Raw genomic sequence first — 24,789 nt, forward strand, 5'->3', positions numbered from 1 at the left:
GTGTATTTCCCCCACTTACACATAACGCTTATAGAATTTTGTCTCCTAGTTATGTTGTAGGAGAGGGCTATTTCTTGTCCTATTAGGACCCAGAATAGTAATAATACATCCATAAATATATATAATTTTTATCAACTAAGAATATAAAACACAAATATTTTTAACTTTTAGGCATGATTGTTTTAGCTATCCTCTTTTGCTATTGATTTCTAATTTTGTTGCATTTTGCTTAGAGAAATATATATTGTAAGATTTCAATTCTTTGGAAATTGAGACTTCCTCTGTGGCTGAATACATAGTTGATTTTTTCTTTCCATGTTCCATGTGCATCCCATATTCATTTTAGTAATCATGTTAAGCAAATCTAGACTTTTTCTTACATTTTTGATCTGCCACTGACAGTGAAAAGCTATTACTAAAATGGATGTAGCCGTAGTATTTTTCCATAGTTCTGTCAGTTGTTGCTTCATGTATTTTGAGGCTATACTGTTTGGTGTATATAAGTTTACATCCATATATCTTTAACTTGTTCTTCCCTCTAACAGCATAAAATATCCTTCTTTGTCACTTTTTTTGACCTTGAGTTTTGTCTGACATTAAAATGGTTACCCTGTCTTAATCTTTACATAGTCAATATGCCTTTGCTTTAAAGCTGTCTTTCCTCTCTGTTAGTAAAGTCTTCCCAACCTCTAGGTTGTATGTACAGTCTCTTACATTTTCTTCTAAAATTTCTCTTTTTTTTCCACCAACCTGATGAACAAAATTAAAAAATAAGTAAAAAATTTCTCTTATTTTCATTGTCGTTAATGATGATATGTGTAACTATGACAAAACATTTGCATCAAATCTAGCTGGATTTTAATGACATATATCCTTGAATTTTTAAAAAACTTCCTTATGCTTCAGTTCCTTACCAGTGATTCCTGAGAGCTTTCTGAGTTCCAGCCTCTGTTACTTCACTATAAAAACGTATAAGAAGCAAAGATACAAAAATTAGCTTGCTGTTTCCTCAGTTTCATAATGGCTAAGAGTGCCCCTGTCATGTTAAATTAAGACAAATCTTAACACAAAGGAACGTTTTGGGAAGGCCACTGGTCACAGATGTCGGTATCTCAAGAAGTGGCTGTCTCACCAAGAAAAGAAACAGTAAAGAGAAAGGAAAAAAACAGCAAAGAGGAAGGAAAAAAAATGTGCTTTGACTAGATAAAAATAAGCAGGAGAATAGACAGATGGGAGGAGATGTTCAGTTGAATATAGATGTGAACAAATTAGATAGTAGGAATATAAAAATCAAGATGTTAAATTTTATTTAAAAAGAAAACAAATGGTGCACAGTGAAGACAGAGGTAATGCTGTTCTAGGGATGAAAAAGGTGACTCTCAATAGAGTGAGAAGAGGCAAAAAGCAGAAAAGTCAAACAGCATCTACCTCAGAAAACAGGTCATGATCGAAGTCTAAGAGTACCAGATTGCACTTCCAAAAGCCTGAAGGAAAAACATAGCTTGATATATTAGTGAATGTCATATGGAAAATGAAAGGGCAAGAACAAAAGGTATAAGAATACCAGTAATATGGGTCCAATTTTCCAGGCGGTCAGGCTGGAGGGTGCAGTCCACTGGTGGCACTTTGAAATGGAAGTGAAAATTCTACCTTGTAAGATAAAAGAGATTAGGATGAGGAGATGTTTTCTAATTCTATATTTTTAGTTTTAAAAACACTTGTTTCTCTTGCTTTGATATTTTCTAGCTTTCTGGTTGACCTAGAGGTTGTTTTTGTTCTGAACAAAGGGGATGTAAATCTGTTTGTTCCCATTCATGGATTTAATTAGGCATGTTGCCCAATCTCTAATAAATCACGGGTTTAGTTTTTCTTTGTTAAGGTAGTCAGAGGCCTTCAGGCATGAGTGACTTATTAAAATGTACTCTGATAGTTGGGGATGAATTATCATCCTGATATTGTCAATCACTTGATAATTTTTATCCCAAAATCTCTCTCCTGGTTGTTTTGTCCTACACAAAGATGACATTTTATTCTCATATTTGTTCACAGACATGATTCACATTTTTCTATCTAGTGCATAAGGAAATCATTCTACATTCAGCAATAGTGCCAGTTTGACTAAAAAAAAAATTTTCCATATCCACAAAAATGTTAATCAGATTCTTGTTAGAACATGTGTAAGAACTGGTTTTCATTTTCACAGCTCTTGATGTCAGATTACTAAAATAATTTATGTTTTGTTGTGGGAACATGAGTGCACGCAAAACCTCTCCAATCACATGACCACTTCTCAGCCCACATGTCTTCATAACACATAGAAATTATTTGTGTTTTGTGGTAACGAATGAATGGCAGGAACAGCAGAATTTCAGTGTGGCCTTTCTTTATTTGATTAAACATATTCTTTATGTATTTTTAAAAAAACTAATTTAAGTTAAATGGCAGTAAACCATGATAATTTAGAAAACATGGTGAAACTGAGAGTGAAGAGAAATGTTCTTTACGTAAACCACACTGTAAACCATAAAACTTATTTTTGTCAACTGCTTTTCATGACAGTGGCTGGGAATTTGACATTTCTACTACAGTAGGCAAAAATACATGTAAAATACACTCTCCCACATACCACATCACATCTCTATTTGTATTTCCAAACTAAAAGCATTACAGCCCAAAAAAGTGCTGCGTGCACTGGTCTAGTTACACCAAGAAGTGTATGTTCACACCAGCAACACCTTAAGCTGGTATCTGTGTGGCAAGGCCACTGCTGGTGGCCCCTGACGCCAAGCCCTCTTCAATGGATCCAGTTTGGCTCACCAAGAGAAATCCACTGCTCTTTAACCCAAAAGGTGGTAAGCTTTTCAATGGCCTCCAGTTACCACAAGATAAAACAAACAAAATTCTCAAACAGATTATGAAACCCAACTGAAGTATCCACATGACAGCGTTCAATACTACCTCGCCACTTCAAAATGTGTCAGCAGCAATTAGCTATGAAAATGAGTGTTGTGAAAATTCGCAATAGTTTGAAACTGAATATTTTAAAACTAGATATCTTTAATATGACAGTAAACAATGTGACAGAAACATGGCTGTTTCTCTCATCTTGTCTGAGATATACATTCCATACAGGTGACTGGGTCCCATAAGTTTTCTAAGAAAAACTTTTCCTTTCCACTTAATGATCCTAAGAAGTCAGTGCAATCTGGTTCTTCTCCCTGCAGAAGGGTTATTTAGTTTGGGATGTAACATTTTACAACAATAATACAAACCTCCTGGGAGAATACCACAATAAATGTCTCAAAAACCACTCAGTTAATCCCAGGGTATAATCTGGCTGTTTTAAATTACTGCAGGGAATATTATGGGCCTTAATGACACTGTAACTGCATAAAGCCAAAGAAAGCTAGAAAAAGGGGCCAAAAAAATGAGCTCAGAGCCAGCCGAAGTGACAACAAACATGTGGTTGTTTACTAGGACTGGAGAGGTTTAGTCTGCAGATGTTTGTGGTCTCCAGAAGGTTCCAGAGGAACGAGTTGTTATGAAGATTTGCAGAGTTGGATGAGAGCAAGATTCTTCTCGGAGATGGCAGGCCCCAGGACAGGGAGGCCCAGTGGTATAGACAGAATTTATAGATTTCTGTGGTCAGATCATACTCTACTGGTCCCACAATGTACATCAACAAATTAATATTGTACGGATGTCATTTCAAAGCCTTCTAAAGACGAGAGTCATTATTGAAGCCATTAGAGCACAGATGGTTCAAACTATATGCAGATATTCATACTTGCATTTTTGCATTATAGCTGCTTTTTTTTTCTATTGAACTGTAATGAATTGTCTCATAATCTATTCCATCTTCTTGCCATTAGCAGGCTTTGAATGTTCACAAATAGGAGCAAAGAACTCATTTTCCAGAGCTTTAATCACACAAAGAGGGAATGCCTAATTCTCTAAATGAAATGGTCTGTGATCACTGAAGCAGAGATTTAATATATCACGGCAAATTAGGTAGATTTTAATAAATTACTTATCTCCCTGAATACTTTACATATGCTTAAGAAGGAACATAGCCTGTTTGCAAACAGTGAAAACCCACAGCCTATAAAAATCCTTTGAAGAAAATGACAAATAAAAAAGTAAATTAAAAAATGAAATGCATTATATCCTAGACCTCTAGAGACAATTCCTTTGCAGCATTGATTCACAGCTCCATTAAAAATATCAATTAAATCCTTCAGTGAGATTGGGTAAAAGCTAGAAAATTAACTTTCAGAGCTGCTTTTCGAGGATCTGGTTACCCAGATACACCCTGGCACTGTACTGGCTTGATGTAAATTTAAAAAATGATAAAAAGATACTCCTTTCACGTCTAACTAAGCATATCAGAATTTGAGTTATACTTTTCATAATTTCTTTCTGTGTCATATACTAAGTTTTCAACGTGTAAATTTCACATCTATCTATATAACTATCTCCTTTTTATATATACATCCCTGGGTCACCATTACAAATGTATGAAAATAATACAAATAGAATGAACTTTTAAGAAAGAAAGACAAAAAACTTGCAGTCATTGAATAAGTTGGTGCTAAGTTTCATTCTTTATATTTAATTGATAGAAACTGCATGCATCAAAGAAAATGCATACTGAGCTTTAATGTGCATAAAATGGATATTAGCATTTTAAAGAGGAAGATTAACACATTAATCCAAGTAATTTTCATATATTGCTTCTAATAAAATCTTCACAGTATAAAACTCTTAATGAAGCTAATCATAGGCATTCCATTTAGTGGGACGATTAGGGATAACATAAAAGTATTTCTTTTTCATAGGTTTTCTAAGATTTATGCTTTTGCTTATTAAAAATAAAAATGGGAATTGCATTTCGGTTCTTCCTAAGAAAATGTTGAAAATGCAAATAGACTTTCTCACGCTATCACGTAGGTATAAATTATTGAGAAGGTACTGCCCATTATGGAGAACTTAAGTCCTGAGGGGTGGCAGTTATGAGAAGGAGGGAATAGAGAAATAAACAAATGAAAAAGTATACAAAACTTCAACACTTCAAACCCAGGTCTCCCCGCTCCCAGCTTCCCATGAATTATAGATTATATACACCAGAGTAATTACAAAAATCTCATGTAGGAACTTTCATGTGAGCATTTACTGAGGAGTAGGAGATGCCTCTGGAGCATTTGCTTTCAAGCCTCCAAGTCATCTCTGTATTGCTTGTAGACAGACTGGAGGGCATGGAGAGCTTCGACTGTTACCCTGAGCTTGCCAATACCTTCACCATCTGCTCGTGCATCAAAAACTAGGGAGAAAAGAGCAGGAAAGTGTTAATATCATTCAACAGATTTTTCTTTGGAAAGGCTCGCAGACAGAAACAGTAGTTGAAAAGATGAAAATAGTTCTACAGAAGTCCAAAGTTCACTGGCATCTTGGGTATCTAAAGAATAAACCTTGTCACGTGTGCATGGAGATGTGCATTTGAGACGTACCGCATGGACCTGTACATATTGTTTGTGGAGCTAAAACTAATAAGCTAATCCTGAAGTTTACCTAGTGAAAGCGTCTAGGATAATGACCCTCACACACAATCAGAATTTTTAAGCTACTGGACGGGCATGGTGGCTCATGCCTGTAATCTCAGCACTTTGGGAGGCCGAGGTGAGGTGATCACCTGAGGTTGAGAGTTTGAAACTAGCCTGACCAACATGGAGAAACCCTGTCTCTACTAAAAATACAAAATTAGCCGAGCATGGTGGTGCATGCCTGTAGTCCCAGCTACTCAGAGGCTGAGGCAGGAGAATCGCCTGAACTCGGGAGGTGGAGGTTGCGGTGAGCCGAGATCATGCCACTGCACGCCAGCCTGAGAGACAAGAGCGAGACTCCTCAAAGAAAAAAAAAAAAAAGAATTTTTAAGCTAGTAAGGAGTAAGTCTAAAGGGAATTTATGATAATCTATACAGTGTTTCAGAATGGCAAACCACTGTACAGATGTTACATGATCATAGCTTGAATTAGTTATTTAACTTTCTGAGGAAAACATTTCATTTAAAATAGATTTTATGTGAAATTAGAAAAGATTAAAATGGCAGACCCAAGAATCTTAAGATCTGTGGGTTTGAGTATATGTAGGATTTTCTTGGAAGAGGGACCACTACTTTCAGTGGTGTCCCAAAGGTAGATCTTGGGCTCAAGTGATTCCCCCACTGTGGCCTCCCCAAGTGTTAGGATTAGAGGCCTGAGCCACTGCACCCAGCCCCGAAGGTAGACTATTTGGCTGGAGCCATGGGCATTCTCTGAGCTCAGTGGTGGAAGCCAAATGGGATGCCGATTCAATACCTGAGACTCCATCCCTCTGTGGACAATGATAATGGCTAGTGACTCAAGGCCAGAAACCTGGATTTTTGTAAGTCTGATAGCACTTATCACTTATGAGTCTTCATATAGTTTCTGTTTTTTTCTTTTAGACAGTATCTGGCTCTGTCACCCAGGCTGGAGTGCAGTGGTGCAATCTGGGCTCGCTGAAACCTCTGCCTCCAAGGGTCAAGCCAACCACCCATCTTAGCCTCCTGAGTAGCTGGGACTACAGTTGGGCACCATCATGCCCAGCTAACTTATATATTTTCTTGTAGAGATGGGGTTTCACCATGTTGCCCAGGTTGGTCTTAAAACTCCTGAGCTCAAGCAGTCCACCTGCCTTGGTCTCCCAAAGTGCTGGGATTACAGGTGTAAGCCACCACACCTGGCTTAGTTTCCAATTTATAATTCCTTATGGTTTTCCTTGAACTTTAATGTGTGTGTGTGTGTGTGTGTGTGTGTGTGTGTGTTTAATTCCAAGAAAATTTGTTAGAAAGCCTTAAAACTTGATACACAAAGAGTTAGGTGCAGAAACTGAGCATTGGGTAAGTGAAAATGGCATGAGTGGTCCCCAGCTCATTCCCTGGAGCTGTCATCTCTGCTTTGGGACTTCTCACTTCTATGGTTGCTGCAGAACAAAGCATTAAAATCCCAACCTCACTTATACCTAATCTTTTGGCTCTTTCCCAAAACATGGCCACAATAGCTGATTATGTCAGATCAGTGGGTCATATGCGGTCTCTCAGAAGAAGATGGGTTGCTAAACAGCCATTTGGAAAAAATACGAAGAATATAAAGCAAAGATAATTTTGGTATTTTTGTCAGACTTTCTTGGTCCTGGTAGTCTTTAAAAGGGTTCAGGTTAATATTTCAATCCTCTCATCTTTTTCTCTGTGCCAAAGTTGTGACCAACTGCCACGTGGTTAGAAATGTATAGTTTATAAAGATTTCCCAGAAGAAGTTTTTAATTTGGTTATTTGGTCTAATTTGGTTAATTATCTGGCTTGAGCCTGACTTTTCAGCACTTGACACATACCTAGGACAAGCAGCTTGACAATGAACCAGGGCTGAACTACAGCGTAAGCAGAATGCCTGGCACATAAGAGGTGCTCCCTTCAGTGTTTGTTGAATGCACAAGTGAATATGTAAACAAGTCATGCACATTTTTCCAAAGATGGCTCTGCTAACTTAACAAATGGGACTAGGAATCAGCCTTATTTCTCTATTTACTACATAAAGCCTAGGCCATCCCTGATTATGATTTTTAAAAGTCTGATTAATAAAACAATTTAGCACGTTCTAAATACAGAAGAATAGAGAGTAGAAATTAAGCATTGTTGGGAATCACAACTAGTAAGTTAAAAATCCAGGACAGCACATTTGTCAGGAACAGATCAAATGTCATTACTCCTCACAAAATCCTGGTGGGAAATAAAGGATCAAAGCTACTTCCTTGCTTTGACTGTATCACTACATTGCAACACTGAATTAAAGAGAAGCCTTGAGAAAGACATTATCAGGATCACTCAGAATAACATGCTTAAGGTTAAGTACCTTAACAGAAATAAGGCTTCCATAAACATTAACAGAATAACATCCTGAAGGTTAAGTCTTAGCTGAAATGTGGCTTCCATAAACAACCCTAGAAAAACATGTGGCCAGGCGTGGTGGCTCACGCCTGTAGTCCGGGCATTTTGGGAGGCCTAGGTGGGCAGATCACTTGAGCCCAGGAGTTCGAGACCAGCCTGGGCAACATGATGAAACCCTGTCTCTATAAAAAATACCAAAAAAATTAGCCGGGCATGGTGATGCACGCCTGTAGTCCCAGATACCTGGGAGGCTGAGGTGGGAGAATTGCTTGAGCCTAGGAAGTCGAGGCTGCAGTGAGCCAAGACTGCACTCCAACTTGGGTGACAGAGCAAAACTCTGTCTCAGAAAAAAAAAAAATCCAATGGCCAACTTTTTTTCACGCCTTCACTCAATACTAACAAATGAATAATTCCTTGTGAAGCTAAATTAATTATTTTACAATTGCTGTTGATTCAAAGGAAAGCAGGGGGGAGGACAGGAAAAGGATATAGGAAGACGCTTCAGCTTCACCAAAGCGTCAACTTGAGTTGTAAAGGATTCAAGTAACGTGTGACTCAGCACCCTTGGAGCCAGCAAAAAGAAGGTTTTAATAAAGAGTTTGGAGTTCAGCAATTGTTGGTTGCACAAACTGAGCAACACTTTCACCCATACCATCGATATTTTGCTCAATGAGGTCCCTCCCTTCCTGAAACATGTCGGCAAGGTCGACGTGAGCCACGCCAATGTCCTCACACTCCAGGTCCTGCTCGTCCTCTGGAGGGTCACTGACCACGGTGAAGCGAAGGCTGGTAAGGCAGAGATCAGAGAAAGTCACCACCAAGTGAGAAGAAATCACCACGAGACAAAACTCCCAAATGGGGTGTTATCACTAGGTATAAAATGTTAAAGTTTCCAATTATCCCAATAAAAAGAAAGGTACACTAGGCTAGATAAGTTATTATATGAACTATTAGAATTGTTATAAAACACCCAACCTTCAAATGAACACTAATCCACTTTCTAAGCACTGATTAACATTTATCTCTATAATCTGAGAAAATTACTAGGCAAAGAGAAGGACCAGATGTTCACTCAATTACATACTATCTGATTATATTTTGACACCTCTACTTTTAAGGCTAAAAGGATGAAGTGAATAAAGACCATGGAGGTTAAATGGTCAGCATTTTCCATAGAAACGTAACATTTCCTATAGAAACACACAACTCTGGAGTTGCTACTAAGGAATTTAACAAAACTGTATGTGTTCTACAAAATGCAGAGATCATGCTCCCAGGGTAACATTTTGAATCATGTTAGATAAATGTTGTAACTCTGCCCAACAGCTATATCAAATGTTTGTATTACTTGAGCAATCTTTAACTTACAATCATAGCATCCAAGTTTTATTTTACTTTAAGACATATAATTGTAGGGTTCTGATGGAACTGATTTGAATTAGTGGCTTGTGCGGAGGCCAAATGCACTTGGATTGACCAAATGACAGGAATTTACAGTTAAGTACTCTTTTGATATGTCTTGGCAGCATAGCTTAAACCATAGATGCTTGTAAACTTTACCATTTTAAACTTTTCAAAATGTATCCATCCCAAATCAGAAACAAAACAAGAAACATAAAAATCTACATCTCTGAGAAATCATGCCTTGAAAAACACAAATAAAATCCTTTCCAAATGCTTATAGGTAAACATGACAATACATTTAACCAACTTGCTGAAAGTAAGTATTCTATATTGAATTCCTTTACTAAGTCTCTGTTTTTAGCTAGCAATAAGAATTTTTTTGTTTGTTGTGTTTTTTTTGAGATGGAGTCTCGCTCTGTCACCCAGGCTGGAGTGAAGTGGCGCAATCTTGGCTCACTGCAACCTCTGCCTCCTGGGTTCAAGCAATTCTCCTGCCTCAGCCTCCCGAGTAGCTGGGATTACAGGTGCCCGCCACCACATCTGGCTAATTTTTGTATTTTTAGTAGAGATGAGGTTTCACTACGTTGGCCAGGCTGGTCTCCAACTCCTGATTTCAGGTGATCTGCCCACCTCGGCCTCCCAAAGTAATGGGATTACAGGCGTGAGTCACTGCGCCCAGCCTGCAATAAATTTTTATTAGAAAATAGAAATCCTTTAGGTCAAAATCAAAGTTAACGCCTACTCACAAAATAATTATAAAGAGTACAGATCTTGGCCTTCAAGGTGGTACGAAGGAATTTTTATAACATGTATAAGATGGAGGGATTAAGATGGAGTGGTTAAGGGCATTCATTCTGGGCTCAAATTCCTGCTTTCCTACTGCTTAGCTGTGTGACCTTAGACAAGTTACTTTAACCTCTCTCATCTCAGTTTCCTTACCAGTGGAATGGGGATAATTATACTTATCTTACAGGGCTCTTGTGAAGATCAAATGAGATGATACAAGTGAACAGTTGCCTGGAACACAGTAAGCACTGAGTAAATGTTTGCTCTTCTTTTTAGTAGTATTTTTAATATAGATAGAGTTGCTTATGCTTCTACATTTCTAAGGGGAGAGAAAAACTTGGCATCGGAAAAGCTTGTTTCAATTGAAAATTTAGTTAGATTCCCAAATTATACATTGACTATATCATTCAATTAAGTAAGAGGAATGATTATGAAAGAAGTTTTCCTAAAATGAATTAGGAAAAGAGGAAGAATTAAAACTGCTTGGAAGAGGAGGAATTAAAAGTAACATATAATGCACATATTATAACACAAGACTTACAGAAAAGACTGAGGCTATGCAGACTGTAATAATAATGTTAAGTGTTATCTTCATACAGTGTCTCATATCTAAGGATCATGTCTGTATCACTTTACAAATGCAGACAATTACCTCCACTGAATATATGAGAATTCTGTGGCAAAAGAAAGCCTTCTAAATGCCAGAGAAAGAACTCGAAATTTAAAAATGCAATATTTCTGGCTTTAAATTCTATATAGAGAAAAATGAGATGTCAAAAACAAAATTAAGAAACCAGAAAGTTAAGCTGAAAAGGGAGGAAAAGTACACTAAAATCATTTAAGAATTAAAAGTAATTTTTAAAAAATAACGAAAAGACACACACACAAATCTTTTATCTTACTTTCAACACTGCCAAAACAAAAAGGCCAACTTTGTCCCATGTCTGGAAGAACGCTTACAGTCTAGTCTGAGGACCTGGATGGACACAGGGGGCAGATGTCAAGCACTCAGGTGGAAGGAAGAACAGGAAGTGCTACCTGAGCTACTCCTGCCTCCTCTTCCCACCTCTTTCTCCTGCCACTCTCTACTTCTCAGTGAGACCAGCCTTGCTAACCACCTCTGCCTGGTCCTGGAACACATCTCTCTATACTCCTTCATGCCTGGAGTTCCCTTTGCCCGAAATGATCTTCTCTGAGCTTTTTGTGACTTGACTGAGTCCTCTTATCCTTCATGAACCAGCTTACGTGTCACCTCCTCAGATTCACTACTGAGGATTCACTGAATTTGATTCAGCTTTCACTGTTACTTTCTATTTTGGCATTTAACTTTTTGATTTTCTCTTAGTCTTTGTAGATGTAATTCATTTATCTGTCTATTATCATCATCTGTCTTCCTCAGGGGTGGATCTGTTCAACAGAACACTGTTAACAAGAAAAAACTGAATCCAAAAAAGGACCTTAAGTCAGTGTTAAACTATGACTTCAAATAAATACTGTTTGAAGGCACATTTCAATATGTTACCTCCCTTTTAAAGTGACACGTGTATATTTGCAAATATAGCATGGGGTGGCATGCAAAGGTACTATATATAATTTATTATACAATGTCTATAACTTTAGACATGTCGGGGAAGATACATCAAACTTCTCTAACTGTCGCTTTGTAGGTTATCACCAATATTCAACAGGGTTGCTGTCTGAGAAAATGGATTCTCATAAACTAGGAGCTACTTTAAATAATGTGACCTCTGAGTATTTAAAAAAGGTGAGAACATTTGCTGGAATAACAATTGGCTTTTGGCTGTGGAAAAACATACATGTAAACGCCTCTTTCCCTTAGGACAATGATACTGTTGAGGGAGAACAGTCAATGGGGCCATCCACTCCCATGGTTGTTCGAGGAGTGCATGGCCAGCACTGAAACACTCATCCATGGTTGGAAGCCCTGAGCCAGTCACTTGGCACCTGCAATACCTCTCTATCTTTCTCAAAAATGACATGAACATTTGTTTCTTTGGGGGGTGTTTGCAGAAACAACCATGGGAGAGTGGGAGTCATTATAGTTACTGTGGACTTTTCTCTTTTTTTGAGACAGGGTCTTGCTCTCTCACCCAGGTTGGAGTACAGTGGCACAACCATTGCTCACTGCAAGCTCGAACTCCTGGGCTCAAGCGGTCCTTCCTCCTCAACCTTCATAGTAGCTGGGACTACTGGTGCATGCCACCATGCCTGGCTAATTTTTTCTTTTTTAATTTTTAGTAGAGATGGGGAGTCTCACTATGTTGCTCAGGCCAGTCTCTAACTTCTGGGCACCAGGGATCCTTTTGCCTTGGCCTCCCAAAGTGCTGGGATTACAGGTATGAGCCACCACACCTGGCCTTTTTAAATTTCTTAATCTATTCTGGTACAAATAAGTGGGTCCTCTGAGGAAAGGCAGGTCTAACACAAAAGCAGAACTTGATTTTAAATTTTTTAAATAAACACTTTTGGGGTAAAAAAATGTTGTCTCCCAATATGATCTCACATTTCAGAAACAAAGCGAACACAGAGGCAGACAAATAAGACTGAATAGGCTACTGAATCGCAGCCCAGGACTTGTCCATGGGAACTGAGCTCCATCCTAGACAGCCATGGCGCAGCTTGCTGACTGGAGGGAAGCAGATGCCATGGCCAGTGCTGTTTATTCCCTCGTCACTCATGACCTGGGATAACCCTGGGGGACTGGTGGCTTTGAAGGGGGCCCTGAAAGAAGCTGAAGCAAGTCAAACCTGAGTGATTACCATCCTGGGAAAAGTAGAGCCTCAGAAAGCTAGTGAAAGAATAGTGATAAAGCTATATTATCAGATCCTGAGAGCTAAGCATTCCAGTCTCTCTTCTTCAAACAGAAGATAAAATGCTAGTTTGGAAGCTCTTTTGAAAAATATGTCTTTAACATTCACTTTATGGCCCTCTGGAAAGGAAAGAACTTGAGTCTCCTAAGGCGGCAGAGTCAGCACTGTTTTTGAGGCAGTGAGAGGCTGTGTCATCAGTAGGTCATAAGGCAAGGAGAAGTGGGCAATGGAGACAGAAAAGGGGTACTCAAGCCGAGGGAGGACGGCCAGCAAGGGGCACTGGAGAAACCAGTTTGCGGTTAATAAGCAGCACAGAGGTAACTCCTCAAACTCTGCGGCAGAAGCTCACACAGAAGCACTAACTTTTTAAGATCAGTTTTTTTTTCTTTCTTCTGAAAATTATATACATGTATTTTCTCTACTGAACCAGAATTGCAAGGTATCCTATTTAAATTAGAAAAAAAATGCCTTCAAAAAATAATAATGAAATGATGGCTTATTAAACAGTGATAGTAAGATACAAATTAGTCTGAAAGGCTGATGAGCCATTACAAACAATAATATTAATGTCACTACTTACAATGATTGCAATTAACACTCACTGTGTGCTATGTGTCAGGTACTATACTATCTGTGTTACATATATTATCTCATTTAATCCTCACACCAACCCTCTATGGTGTTATCATCTCCATTTTAAAGTTGAAGGAAGAGAGGTGCAAGAAGGTTAGGTAACTTGTCTGAGGTCAGTCAGCTAGTAAGCAATAAGACAAGAATTTATACCCAAGGCATGTGACTCCAGAGTGTACCCACCTTTCAACCTGTTACAGTCTTTACAACTACAGGAGTGGCAATAGGATACTTTATACATGTTGTCCAGTCTTTGGTGTTCCAAGTCCTATAGGATCATTACAATTACTTTGTATAGTAGGAAGGACCATTAAATTTCTAGGAGGAAGGCGATCTACAGAGATCCCGTACTCATTCGAGGGTACAGAGTGAGTCAGAGAACCCCGATGTTCGGCTTCCTCATCTTGTGCCTTTTATTTTAACCATGTCCTGCTACAGAGATCTACTTTATGTAAACCATTAGATTATTTGGACTGCCAAAACATACCTTCTATTAGGCATCTCTTGTTTTTGTAGTATAGCTTTTAAGATGTCTCTCTTTGCTTTGTTGTTTTCTTTATCCACGTAGATCACTATACCAAAAGAAAAAAAAATGCCAAAAAGGAAGTCACTCAGGAATAGGCTACATTAGTACCATTCTGTATTTTTAAAAATACCTGTTTTTAAAGACACAAGTCATGCCACCTCACTTGCATGCCTGGGAAAAGAAAACAGCTCCAGAAACCAGAATCAAATCTGAGTAGTCATGTGATCTAATGTCATGTCACTGGCAGGTTTATGTGCACACTGTCAGAAAAGATACAAGCAACATCTAAGAGTGCCACATCACCGTCACTGCCTGTTAATGGCACTGGCAGTCATGACAGTAAAAGTCAACGGTCTTTATTGCTTTGTATTTGAGGGATTTACTGCATTTTCTTTCACCCAAGAAGCAAGTGATAATGATAATGTATGGCAGACTGCTTGTCCTTCCTGACAGCCTCAGTAATTTAATCCTTCTCTTCTGCCACAACATGCAATAAAAGAGGCATCTAGTGTATTGGGTTGAGGAAATCCGCAGGCTGACGCCTGCTGGGGAGGGGTATGGGAGAGAAACGTGCAGGGAGAGAAAGGCTTTTTAGGGTGTGAGGTTTTTGGTTTTAAAGGCACATGCTGGCATCGAGGAATGTGGCCAGACTTCACTGGGCTGAAGCATGAGATTAGATAACTGACCTCAAGTCTCAACAGAAAGAAGACGGTGAACACTTGACATTGTAAGTAAGCATCTGCACTTTGGGAAAATGGCATTTCAATGTGCGAACAGTACAATTTTCATCCTGATTATTTGTTCTCAGTTCGGCAGACTTTCAGCCATGCATCAGCTTCTGAAGACATTTCTTTTTCATAGGCCATTTTGGATGTAAAGGCTCCCCTGTGACCAGATCTCAACTTAGAGATTATTCCTGGCCAAAAGCATGCAATGGGTGAAAGATATCACGATAGTTCTAAAGCCAGTTCTCCTTAGGCTCTGCCAGGAACAAACATCTTTTATGTTGAAAATGTTTCCCTGAACAATTTTAGTTCAATTCCAAATTATGATGCTATCAACTCATTTGTTTGGCTCAGTTGAGCAAATATTAACTGAGGGCCAAAGGCACTGAGTAGGCACAAGGCGGGAGAGACATAAAGGTGGCGGGAGAGACATAAAGGTACCGGTATAGGGGTGGGTTAGTGGTTTCAGAGAAGAATCATCCAAGACATAATAACCAAGTTAATAATCAACTCTGGATAGCCAAAGTCAAACACCAGCTCCTAGCTTACTGCTCTTTGCATGAAACCATATTAGTAAATGTGGCTAGTTATATAGGTTACTGAAGTTTATAGAAATCAATACAGATTCAAAGGTTCAGAGTATTTTTTTTAATTTATCAATGCCAAAAAGTCATGCTAACAGATCACTGGAAGATAGACTTCGTTTTTTAGAGGCTGCCAGTACACAACGCTAAAGGGGAACTTTTTTTCCAAATGGGATTTTTTTTTTTTTTTTTTGCTGTTAATTACCAATTCAAGATGTGGCACACCATATTGTTTTTGACTTCAGAGTTGTAAAGCTTTTATGTCGTACTGGCTTCCATAGTTTGAAGACAAGGGTAATCTCAGTGGTTAAAAAAAAAAGACTGAATTTCAAATGCCAGCATCCAAATAAAGGGTCTTCCAATTAAACCTAGACCAGATTTGATAAATTTCAATAGCTTAAATCATTTTTTTATTGTGGTAAAATACACATAACATAAAATTTACCATCCTAAATTAACAATTAATATTTAAGTATTCAGTTTAGTGGCATTAAATATCTACATATTGTGGTACAATGATCACCACTATCCATTTCCAGAACTTCTTCATCTTCCCAAACTGAAACTCCATACTCATTAATCAATAACTTTCCATTCTTCCCTCTTCTCAGCCCCTGGTAACCACCATTCCATTTTTTGTCTGTATGAATCTGACTCCCCGAAGTATGTCATATAAGTGGAATCATACAGTATTTGTCCTTTTGTGTCCAGTTTATTTCATTTAGCATTGGTGTTCTCAAGATTCATACATCTTGTAGCATATGTCAAATTTCATTCCTTCTTAAGGCTGTATAATATTTCATCATATGTATATACCACATTTTGTTTATCCACTTATCCTGTGATAGACATTTGGATTGTTTCCACCTTTGACTATTATGGATAATGCTGCTCTAAACATGGGCATACAAATATCTGAGTTCTTGATTTCAATTCTTTTTGGTATATACCCAGAAGTGAAATTGCTAGACCATACGGGTCATTCTAAATTTACCTTTTTTTTTTTTCTTAGAGATGGGGGGCCTTGCTCTGTTACCCAGGCTGGAGTGCAGTGGTGTGATCATAGCTCACTGCAGCCTCGAACTCCTGGGCTCAACTGATCCTCCCACCTTAGCCCTTAGCCTCCCCCTGGTAGCTGGGACTACAGGTGAGCACCACTATGTCCACCTAATTTTTAGTTTTTGTAGAGATGGAGTCTCACTATGTTGCCCAGGCTGATCTTGAACTCCTGGCCTCAAGTGATCCTACTGTCTTGGCTTCCCAAAGTGCTGGAATTACAGGAGTAAGCCACCATGACTGGCCCAATCTTTTCTTTTTCTTTTTTAAACATCCTTACCATTGAAATTGGTTTTAAAAAGTGGTGTCGTTGGGGATTCCCTGTGCTTCTGCTTTATCGAGTTGGCCAACATGCTATATTTCCTATTCTCTTAATAAAGACAAAAATGATTGCCACTATTTACTGGGTACTATTTATGTGCTAGGTACTACACTAAATACTTTTACTGTCATCATGCAGGTTAAGTACCTGACCCACATTTTACAGATGATTAAATAGATCCAGAGAAGGTTAGGAGTTTGCCCAAGACCACCTACTTAGAATGTGGCAGAGCCAGAATTTGAATCCAGCAATGTTAGCCTCAAGAGTCTGCTCTCTTAACCTCCATGTTACATAACCTCTCCTCCTTCCATATGAAGCCAAAGTTTTCCTGTTTAAGCTGTAGTTATTTTGTTAACACAAGACCAGAAGGTAAGAGAATGTTCCATAACAATATCAAGGGAAGTCACCTCATTTTCTTTTGTTTCATAAAGGAATAATTGCTTAGATATACCTAGTCTAGGTGTGTCAAATCATATTTCTTGGCAGAAAACTTTCAAAATACTCTTTTTGAAAATACTCCAGCTACTTACCAATAAGCTTAGTTCTCCAAAAGTGTACCAAGTTGGAACTATGGCTCTCCTGCTTCCACAAACAAGGCCTAGATTGGGCATCTTTATCTAGCCCAGTGGTTCTCAGTCTTTATTGTGTATCACAACCCCTTAAAAGGCTTGTTAAAATGCAGATTATTGAGTTGTATTCCCAGAGTTTCTGGTTCAGTAGCTCTGGGTTAGGGCCTGAGAATTTGTAATTCTAACATGTTTCCAGTTGATATTGCTGCTGGTGGTGGGGGTTCTACACATTGAGAAACATTGTTTGGCCCAACATTCATTTGCCAAATTTTTAAATGGGATCAGGAGCTAGTGAACACTTTTGGGTTGAATACCGTGGGAAACAGGAACACTTTGGCTGCCTCTGATTATGTCATGATATCCTATGACTAACCATGGTTCATTTAGTATTCTAAAACCCTAGATGGTTAAAAAAACTCACAATTTCAAAACTTGAAATACATCCTATAAAAAGTGACTCTAGTGATTATTAAAAGTATCAGAACTCTCCAAAAGTTAAGGTATTTACCTTTCATTCTCCTCAGAAATCACATTTGTTTAGGACTTGTATGATTTTGACATAAACTTACTGAAAGCATATGTCTCAAAAAGGATACAAACTGGTAGTCCAAATACTTTAGTTGATCTTCAGTCATCTACCATTAAAAACATATCCTTTACTTCTGCAAGCTGGATAAATCCTTATATTCTGTTATCAATGTCATATGGCAGAAGAAATGCAGATGGCTTAATTATAAGGAGTCGATAACCCTGAATCTCAGATAATGTTTGTATTAAAGAGTAATCATCTGTATCATCCTTATCTTTGCCAAATTTCTCCTCCTATTAGTCACAAAATCTGATGTTTCACATCATCTTCATCTTTTGAATTAAACTTCAATTGTTCCAAAAGACAGACTGTTCCATCCCTAGAGGCTAAGGGTCCAGACATGTATAAGTCTCATAAAAACTTTGGATGATTTCATTAATCTTTTTCCTTCCACTGTCAATTCCACTGTAGGCTTTATTCAGCCCAGACAACATTCTTCAGACCTACCATTAATCTTATTTTTTCCCAAACTATTTTCTTGCTTTCTCAGCATTCTCTGAGCAAAATTTTCAGGCCCAATAAAATACAAATGTTTTGTTCCTGCTACCACTGTCTGGCAAGTAAATTCAATTTTAGTTTTTCAGTGTTGGTATTTCTAAGAATATATATATATATATATATATTTTTTTTTTTTTTTTTTTGAGATGGAGTCTCGCTCTGTCACCCAGTCTGGAGTGCAGTGGCGCGATCTTGGCTCGCTGCAACCTCCGCCTCCTGGGTTCAAGCGATTCTCCTGCCTCAGCCTCCTGAGTAGCTGGGATTACAGGCGCCTGCCACCATGCCCATCTAATTTTTGTATTTTTAGTAGAGATGGGGTTTCACCATGTTGGTCAGGCTGGTCTCAAACTCATGATCTGCCCACCTCCGCCTCCCAAAGTGCTGGGATTTCAGGTGTGAGCCACTATGCCAGGACGACTTTTGTATTTTTAGTAGAGGTGGGGTTTCACCATGTTGGCCAGGCTGGTCTCAAACTCCCAACCTCAGGATCTGTCCACCTCAGCCTCCCAAAGTGCTGGGATTACAGGTGTGAGCCACCACGCCCAGCCAGGAGATATATATTTTTGTGTATGTAGGTTATACTGGTTTTAACACCTCTTAATAAAGACTGAATTCAATTATGAATAATCTAGGGAATCACTAGTCTGCATCTCTCATTTTATGTACCTAATTTGGGCCTGAACATACAAGTCTCTTTTGTACAGATTCAAGTCACAATGCAGGGTAAAATCATTGCTAGGTTCAGCTAACCTCTCTACTGCATGCTGTTCAAACAGGAGACAGCATGTACTAATTGTCCTCTAAATTATCCATTTGAATTAAAAAGTCAGTTTGGAAATAAAATTACTTCCATTAATATTTAATGAGATTTGGAAGATGTAAGTCTACATTATATTGACCTTCTGTATCAGGTAACGAGTGAATGGTAAATCATTACAATAATATACAAGAGATAGTTACTTATTAACCAAAGACTCAAGGAGATCCCCCTGCAATGGAGATGCAAATATAATAATTTTAAAATAAACATTTTCATTATGTCATACTTAAATGAAAAATGAAGCATTCAACCAGGTTAATATTAATTATTTCTCAAATTTGCTGATGACCTAGGAGCTCATTTTTTCAGATATAACAGATATAAAACAACATTAGTTTGCTTCTAAGCACGGAGTACATTCCTTTCCCCTCCTCCCAGAAAAATATCCTTAAAATTATTTTCAATTAATCTTGAAAATTCTACACAGTCAAATTTCATTAGATAGGAAGAGAAGCTAAAAAAAGTATAGTAAACAGTTTTACTGAATTCATTTCTAATAGATTACTGGTTTTCTTGCTGCTATCAAATGATTGATTCATTAAAAACATAACTGTTAACATACCAATTAGACAATAAAATACCCTGCAGTAAAGGGAAAAAACAAACCAAAATGCACAACCAGGCTGGGCATGGTGGCTCGCACCTGTAATACCAGCACTTTGGGAGGCTGAGGCAGGTGGATCACTTGAGGTCAGGAGTTTGAGACCAGCCTCGGCAACATGGTGAAATCTCGTCTCTACCAAAAATACAAAAATTAGCTGGGTGTGGCTGCGTGTCCCTGTAATCCCAGCTACTTGGGGGGCTGAGGTGAAAGGATCGCTTAAACCCAGGAAGTGGAGGTTGCAGTAAGCCAAGATTGTGCCACTGCACTCCAGCCTGGGCAATAGCACCAGACCTTGCATCACAAAAAAAAAAAAAAAAAAAAAAAAAAGCACAACTAACAAAACACCCCAAACAGACCTAGAGGTAACCATGTGAGAATGCACAAAATTTGGGCCACTTGAGCATATATCACAGTTTGAGCTAAAGAAAGATTTGTATTGCTCTTCAAGCAAATGGAAACATCTACTCCTTGACATGGCCAAGTTTCTCAATAGACAATTAATCTCTAAAAAACAATGTTGTTGCCAGTCCAACCAAATATTCTACTCCTGACCTTTACAAAGAATAATACAAAAGCCAAAGAGTTTGTCATTTTTCTTGGGGTATCTTTCTTAAAATTAGTTGAATGCAACTATTAATAATATTTTGATATGGTTTTCTTTTCTGGTACTCTGCAACTGATGATTTCCAAGAAGCCTGAGAAAATACTTTTGGAAATGTTTTCTTTATACCAAGTGCATGAAATGAAGGAGGAATCAGATTCTTGTCCTGTCCACACTACTTATTTCACATGTGATTTCTTAACACACCTGTTATTGTAGAATTTAAGCTGAAGTAGATCTTAGAAAGCACCTTACTTTTCAAATAAGAAAACAAGGAATCATGAAATTTAAACATCTTGCCTTAGTTCACATAACAGTAAAAATTGGGGATAAAGGGAGGACTAGACCACTAGGCCAGATCTCTGGATACTTAAGATTACTGTCTTGAGGAATGAACGTATTTCTAAAAATGCCAGATGGGGGAAAAAAAAGGTAACTGTGAGCATTTGTAATCCTGCTGATACAACAGCATGGTTATACATGTTGATTAAAATGCAATTTCTAAGATTAGTGAGGAAAAAAATAGTAGTGATGAACTAGCATGAGATGGCCCATTTTGCTAAAAATAACACAACACTCCATTTTTATGGTTTGTTTTAATGTAGAGCTCTAGGAGAACATACTAAGCTGTTTTAGCTTAGGGTCATGGTAGCCTGATATTATTTTTTATTCCTCTCCAATTATATACTAACAATCACACAATAAAGTTGATTGATCTCAGAATTTATAGGGTGTCTATTGGGTCTGTGCTGGTCCAGTAAACTTACATGTCAACTGGCTGCTAGATCAAGCCCTAAGACAGAAAACCTGCCTGCTGCTATGAATGGATGTGTGTGCTATATGATGAAAGGTGTAGTAAGAACTTATGCTTCACTCAATTAAAATCTTGAACATCTAGACACTGAGAGAGATATATACACGTATTGTAAAAACATCCATGTGATGACATTGATCAGAAAGGTAGACAATAAATAGAACATTGAAAGCTTCGAATCATATGATTAAAAAATGACTTCTTTGAAAGATATTTCTTTGAAATATCATATATTTAAATTAAATTCCTAATTATAGACCTAGCTGACATTTTTCTGTTGAACTATGACATAGCAGGACCATCTTAGAAATATTTTTTCACATTGTTTTGTTTTCTCTTAACTGTGGTATTACTTCAACTTTCTCTTCTTTTTTGAGACAGGGTCTCACTTTGCCACTCAAGCAAGAGTGCGGTGGCAAGATCAGAGCTCACTGCAGGCTCACCCTCCCAGGCTCAAGCAATCCTCCTGCCTCAGCCTCCTGAGTAGCTGGGACTACAGGAGCGCAACACCATGCCCGGCTAATTTTTGTATTTTTTTTTGTAGAGACGAGGTTTTGCCGTGTAGCCCAGGCTGGTCTGGAACTCCAGAGCTCAAGCGATCCACCCGTCTCGGTCTCCCAAAGTGCTAGGATTACAGGTGTGAGCCACTGTGCCTGGCCCAACTTTATTTTCTTAATCTTTATGCTACTGGTTTGACTTTTATTAATCAATTCTGACAAGACTTCCATGAATTTATGTGAATATTAGAGAAATAAACTTTCTCTCTGTTCTTTCCACTTCTTTCATAAATAAAAAAGACAAACATAAAAGTCTATATTACAAATGAATCATACATACCATTGCTATAGTTATAGTAGACCCACTGCCCACTCTTGGGTTTTGGAAGTGACACGGGTGTCTCTTCAGCAGGAAGACTGTAGAATCGACACTCAACAAACAGCCGTTGGATAGTGTCATCCATGGTTACTTGAGAATCATTAAGGCTTAGAGCTATGATCTCAATCCGAATTTTTTCTGATGGCTGTTTAAAGAGCAAAAACAAAAAACAACAAAGAAATAAAATAATTGAACAAAAAGATCCACTATTACTTTCCACTATCAATTTTAAATAAAACACGAAGGCCAATGGGCTTCTTTTCTTGAATGCAATGTACACTACTGTATGTTACACATGATAGATTATTCATGACAGAGACACAGAATGAGATGCTAATGCCCCAGGGTTTGAAGTTAACAGTGTCATGGCAATAGTCTCCTGATTTACATTTGAGGCTATAAATACCCCACTAGTAGTCTATCAGGAGTGAAGATTATGAGATCTTCATCTCCGATTGCTTTCAGAATGACAAGTTGGCCTTGTTTCAAACTATGTAATGAAGTACATGTTTATCACTGCCTTTACTTAATCTACAGTACCTGAGAAAGTTTCAGTTATTCGGAGATCAAAGCCTGTTGAACACTTTATAGGTATTATGCTAATATATGTAGCTATATGAATCAATATTAACTAGAGCAGAAACTACAGTTCATTCTCTTATATTCTGTCATAATATACTTTGTTGAATAAATAATACATTTTCAAGCAAAAGAAACAATTTTATGTCTAATTTGAACATTTTCTCATAATTTATCTTTAATTTTATTTTTACAAAATTAACAACTAAAATGGTGTTTGTTTAATTTTCACCTCAATCCTTGCTTAATAGATTTTGGTGTCATAGACATTATCACAGGAATTACAAATGTTTCCTTGAGTAATGATTTCAAATAATTAATAGACTAGGATTAGAAATTATATCACACCAAGGTAACTCCTCAGTTAAATCTGTTTTTTACAATTTAAAGTTTGTCCTTTAGTATCAAAATCCTATTTTACTAAATTCAGAGACATGCTATAAATTATATAACTTCAAATAATAATTAGAAAAACCTGAAAATAAGACCTGTTTATATGACCAGCTTTTAGGAATTCATTGTTAAATTTAAATCAGTGTGTAAATTCACCATAGTGGTTACTTAGATATTTCAAAGCATATAATATAATTAATCAAATTGAAAAGCATAAGTATCCTATTGTAAAAATATTCCCATAAAGAACAATTTCCATTGCTGTCAAACCCTCTCAATATTTGATGAAGTAATTTTACCCCCTTCTTTCAAAAGACATTTTCTTTTATTATGTATTCTAAGACACTTTAACTAAAAACCCAAATCTGAATATTTCAATAAGGTTATTTTATTATTCAGTAGATTCATGGAAATTTTACTAGGATGACAGAGAAAATTCCACACCATTCTGTCTCCACTAATACAGGTACAAGGCTGCAGCTGGCAATATTACTAGGATTAGCATAGTATGATGAAATATTTAAAGGAAAATTTTTTCTAAAACCTAATAAATCAAATGACTGCCAAATGTCATTAAAGTGATGGTCTTTGACTTGAATATGCTTTTCATATTCAAATTTGAAAAGAAAGAGATGAAAGCCTGGAAAGGTTACTCGGTTTCAACTAATAACCTCAAGCCCTCTCCGTTCACGTGCATAAAAAATGAAGTTGGCTCTATTGTCTAATCTCACTTCAGAAAACCCCTTCTCTGCTCGCTGAAGACTACATGGTAAAGAAAATATTTTAAATGATATTTTTTTTCCTTAAAATGTATCGTGGTAGTGAAAATACTGTAATACATATATTTTATAATTCTGCTCCAACTGTAGCATAATGTATAGTTAAGTCTTCTACATAAGTTGGAATTTGACAAACTTAGAATTATAGCAATAACATCTTATACAACATTTATGTTTCTGCACAAAAGAATTAAAGGAAAATAGCTATAAAAAGAAAAAAGTGCTATACATACTTATTTCTACTCTGTGAAAAGAGGAATTTAAAATTGTTTATCACAGAACCTAATGAAGAAGTAAATGAACTTGTAAATAGCAGGGGAATCAAATTTATCTAAGTGGTTATTTTATTAATAATATATTAGCTCTACAATCCCCATATGAAAACTTGCATTATTGTAAGAACCAATTTAGACTGTCAAATATGACTACATGCAACTCTTTAAAGTTTAAAATACAATCCTAGATAAAACTATTCACTTGGATCCTAGCCAAAACACAGAAACAAAATAACAAAACCCCAAACACCAAAACAACAAAAAAGAAAACTCACTGTATTATCAAAAAAATAAAATAACTTTAAAATTCTTTTTATGATGTCTATCTTATTTCTGGTCAATTTTTTTTTTTTTTTTTTGGATCTCTACACTACTGCCATTACTTCGATCAAATGTCCTTTTTAATTCTCTGACCAATACACCTGGCAGAAATGATCAGTTATTGTTTCTTCATTCATTTAATGCTACATGAATCAACTTGAAATAAATCCTAAAAGGGGTACATTTTAAGCAGCTTTTATCTAAGAAAGTAAGCTCTAAATAAAGAATTTTCCAAACATAAATTTTG

The 24,789-nt window shown here is 37.3% G+C and overlaps 1 protein-coding gene across 16 annotated transcripts in view; it reads right to left on the reverse strand.

The window, feature by feature from the left end:
* The window catches only part of RPGRIP1L (RPGRIP1 like), a 105,707-nt gene continuing 82,202 nt past the window's right edge, over positions 1,285-24,789 (reverse strand). For 12 of the 16 annotated variants that reach the window (NM_001127897.4, NM_001330538.2, NM_001308334.3 and 9 more), the window contains 4 exons: positions 22,157-22,340; positions 14,099-14,183; positions 8,613-8,746; positions 1,285-5,320 (listed from right to left, as the gene is read on the reverse strand). In NM_001127897.4, the coding sequence (NP_001121369.1) occupies positions 5,208-5,320; positions 8,613-8,746; positions 14,099-14,183; positions 22,157-22,340 (516 nt within the window). In that variant the 3' untranslated portion in view covers positions 1,285-5,207. Of the gene's footprint in view, positions 5,321-8,529; positions 10,382-11,052; positions 11,127-14,098; positions 14,184-22,156; positions 22,341-24,789 lie in introns of those variants that run through there. The other 4 variants (XR_007064862.1, XR_007064860.1, XR_933260.4 and 1 more) reach the window with 4 other exon arrangements.

The sequence above is a fragment of the Homo sapiens genome, chromosome 16, assembly GCF_000001405.40.
Source record: "Homo sapiens chromosome 16, GRCh38.p14 Primary Assembly".
Lineage (NCBI taxonomy): Eukaryota > Metazoa > Chordata > Mammalia > Primates > Hominidae > Homo > Homo sapiens.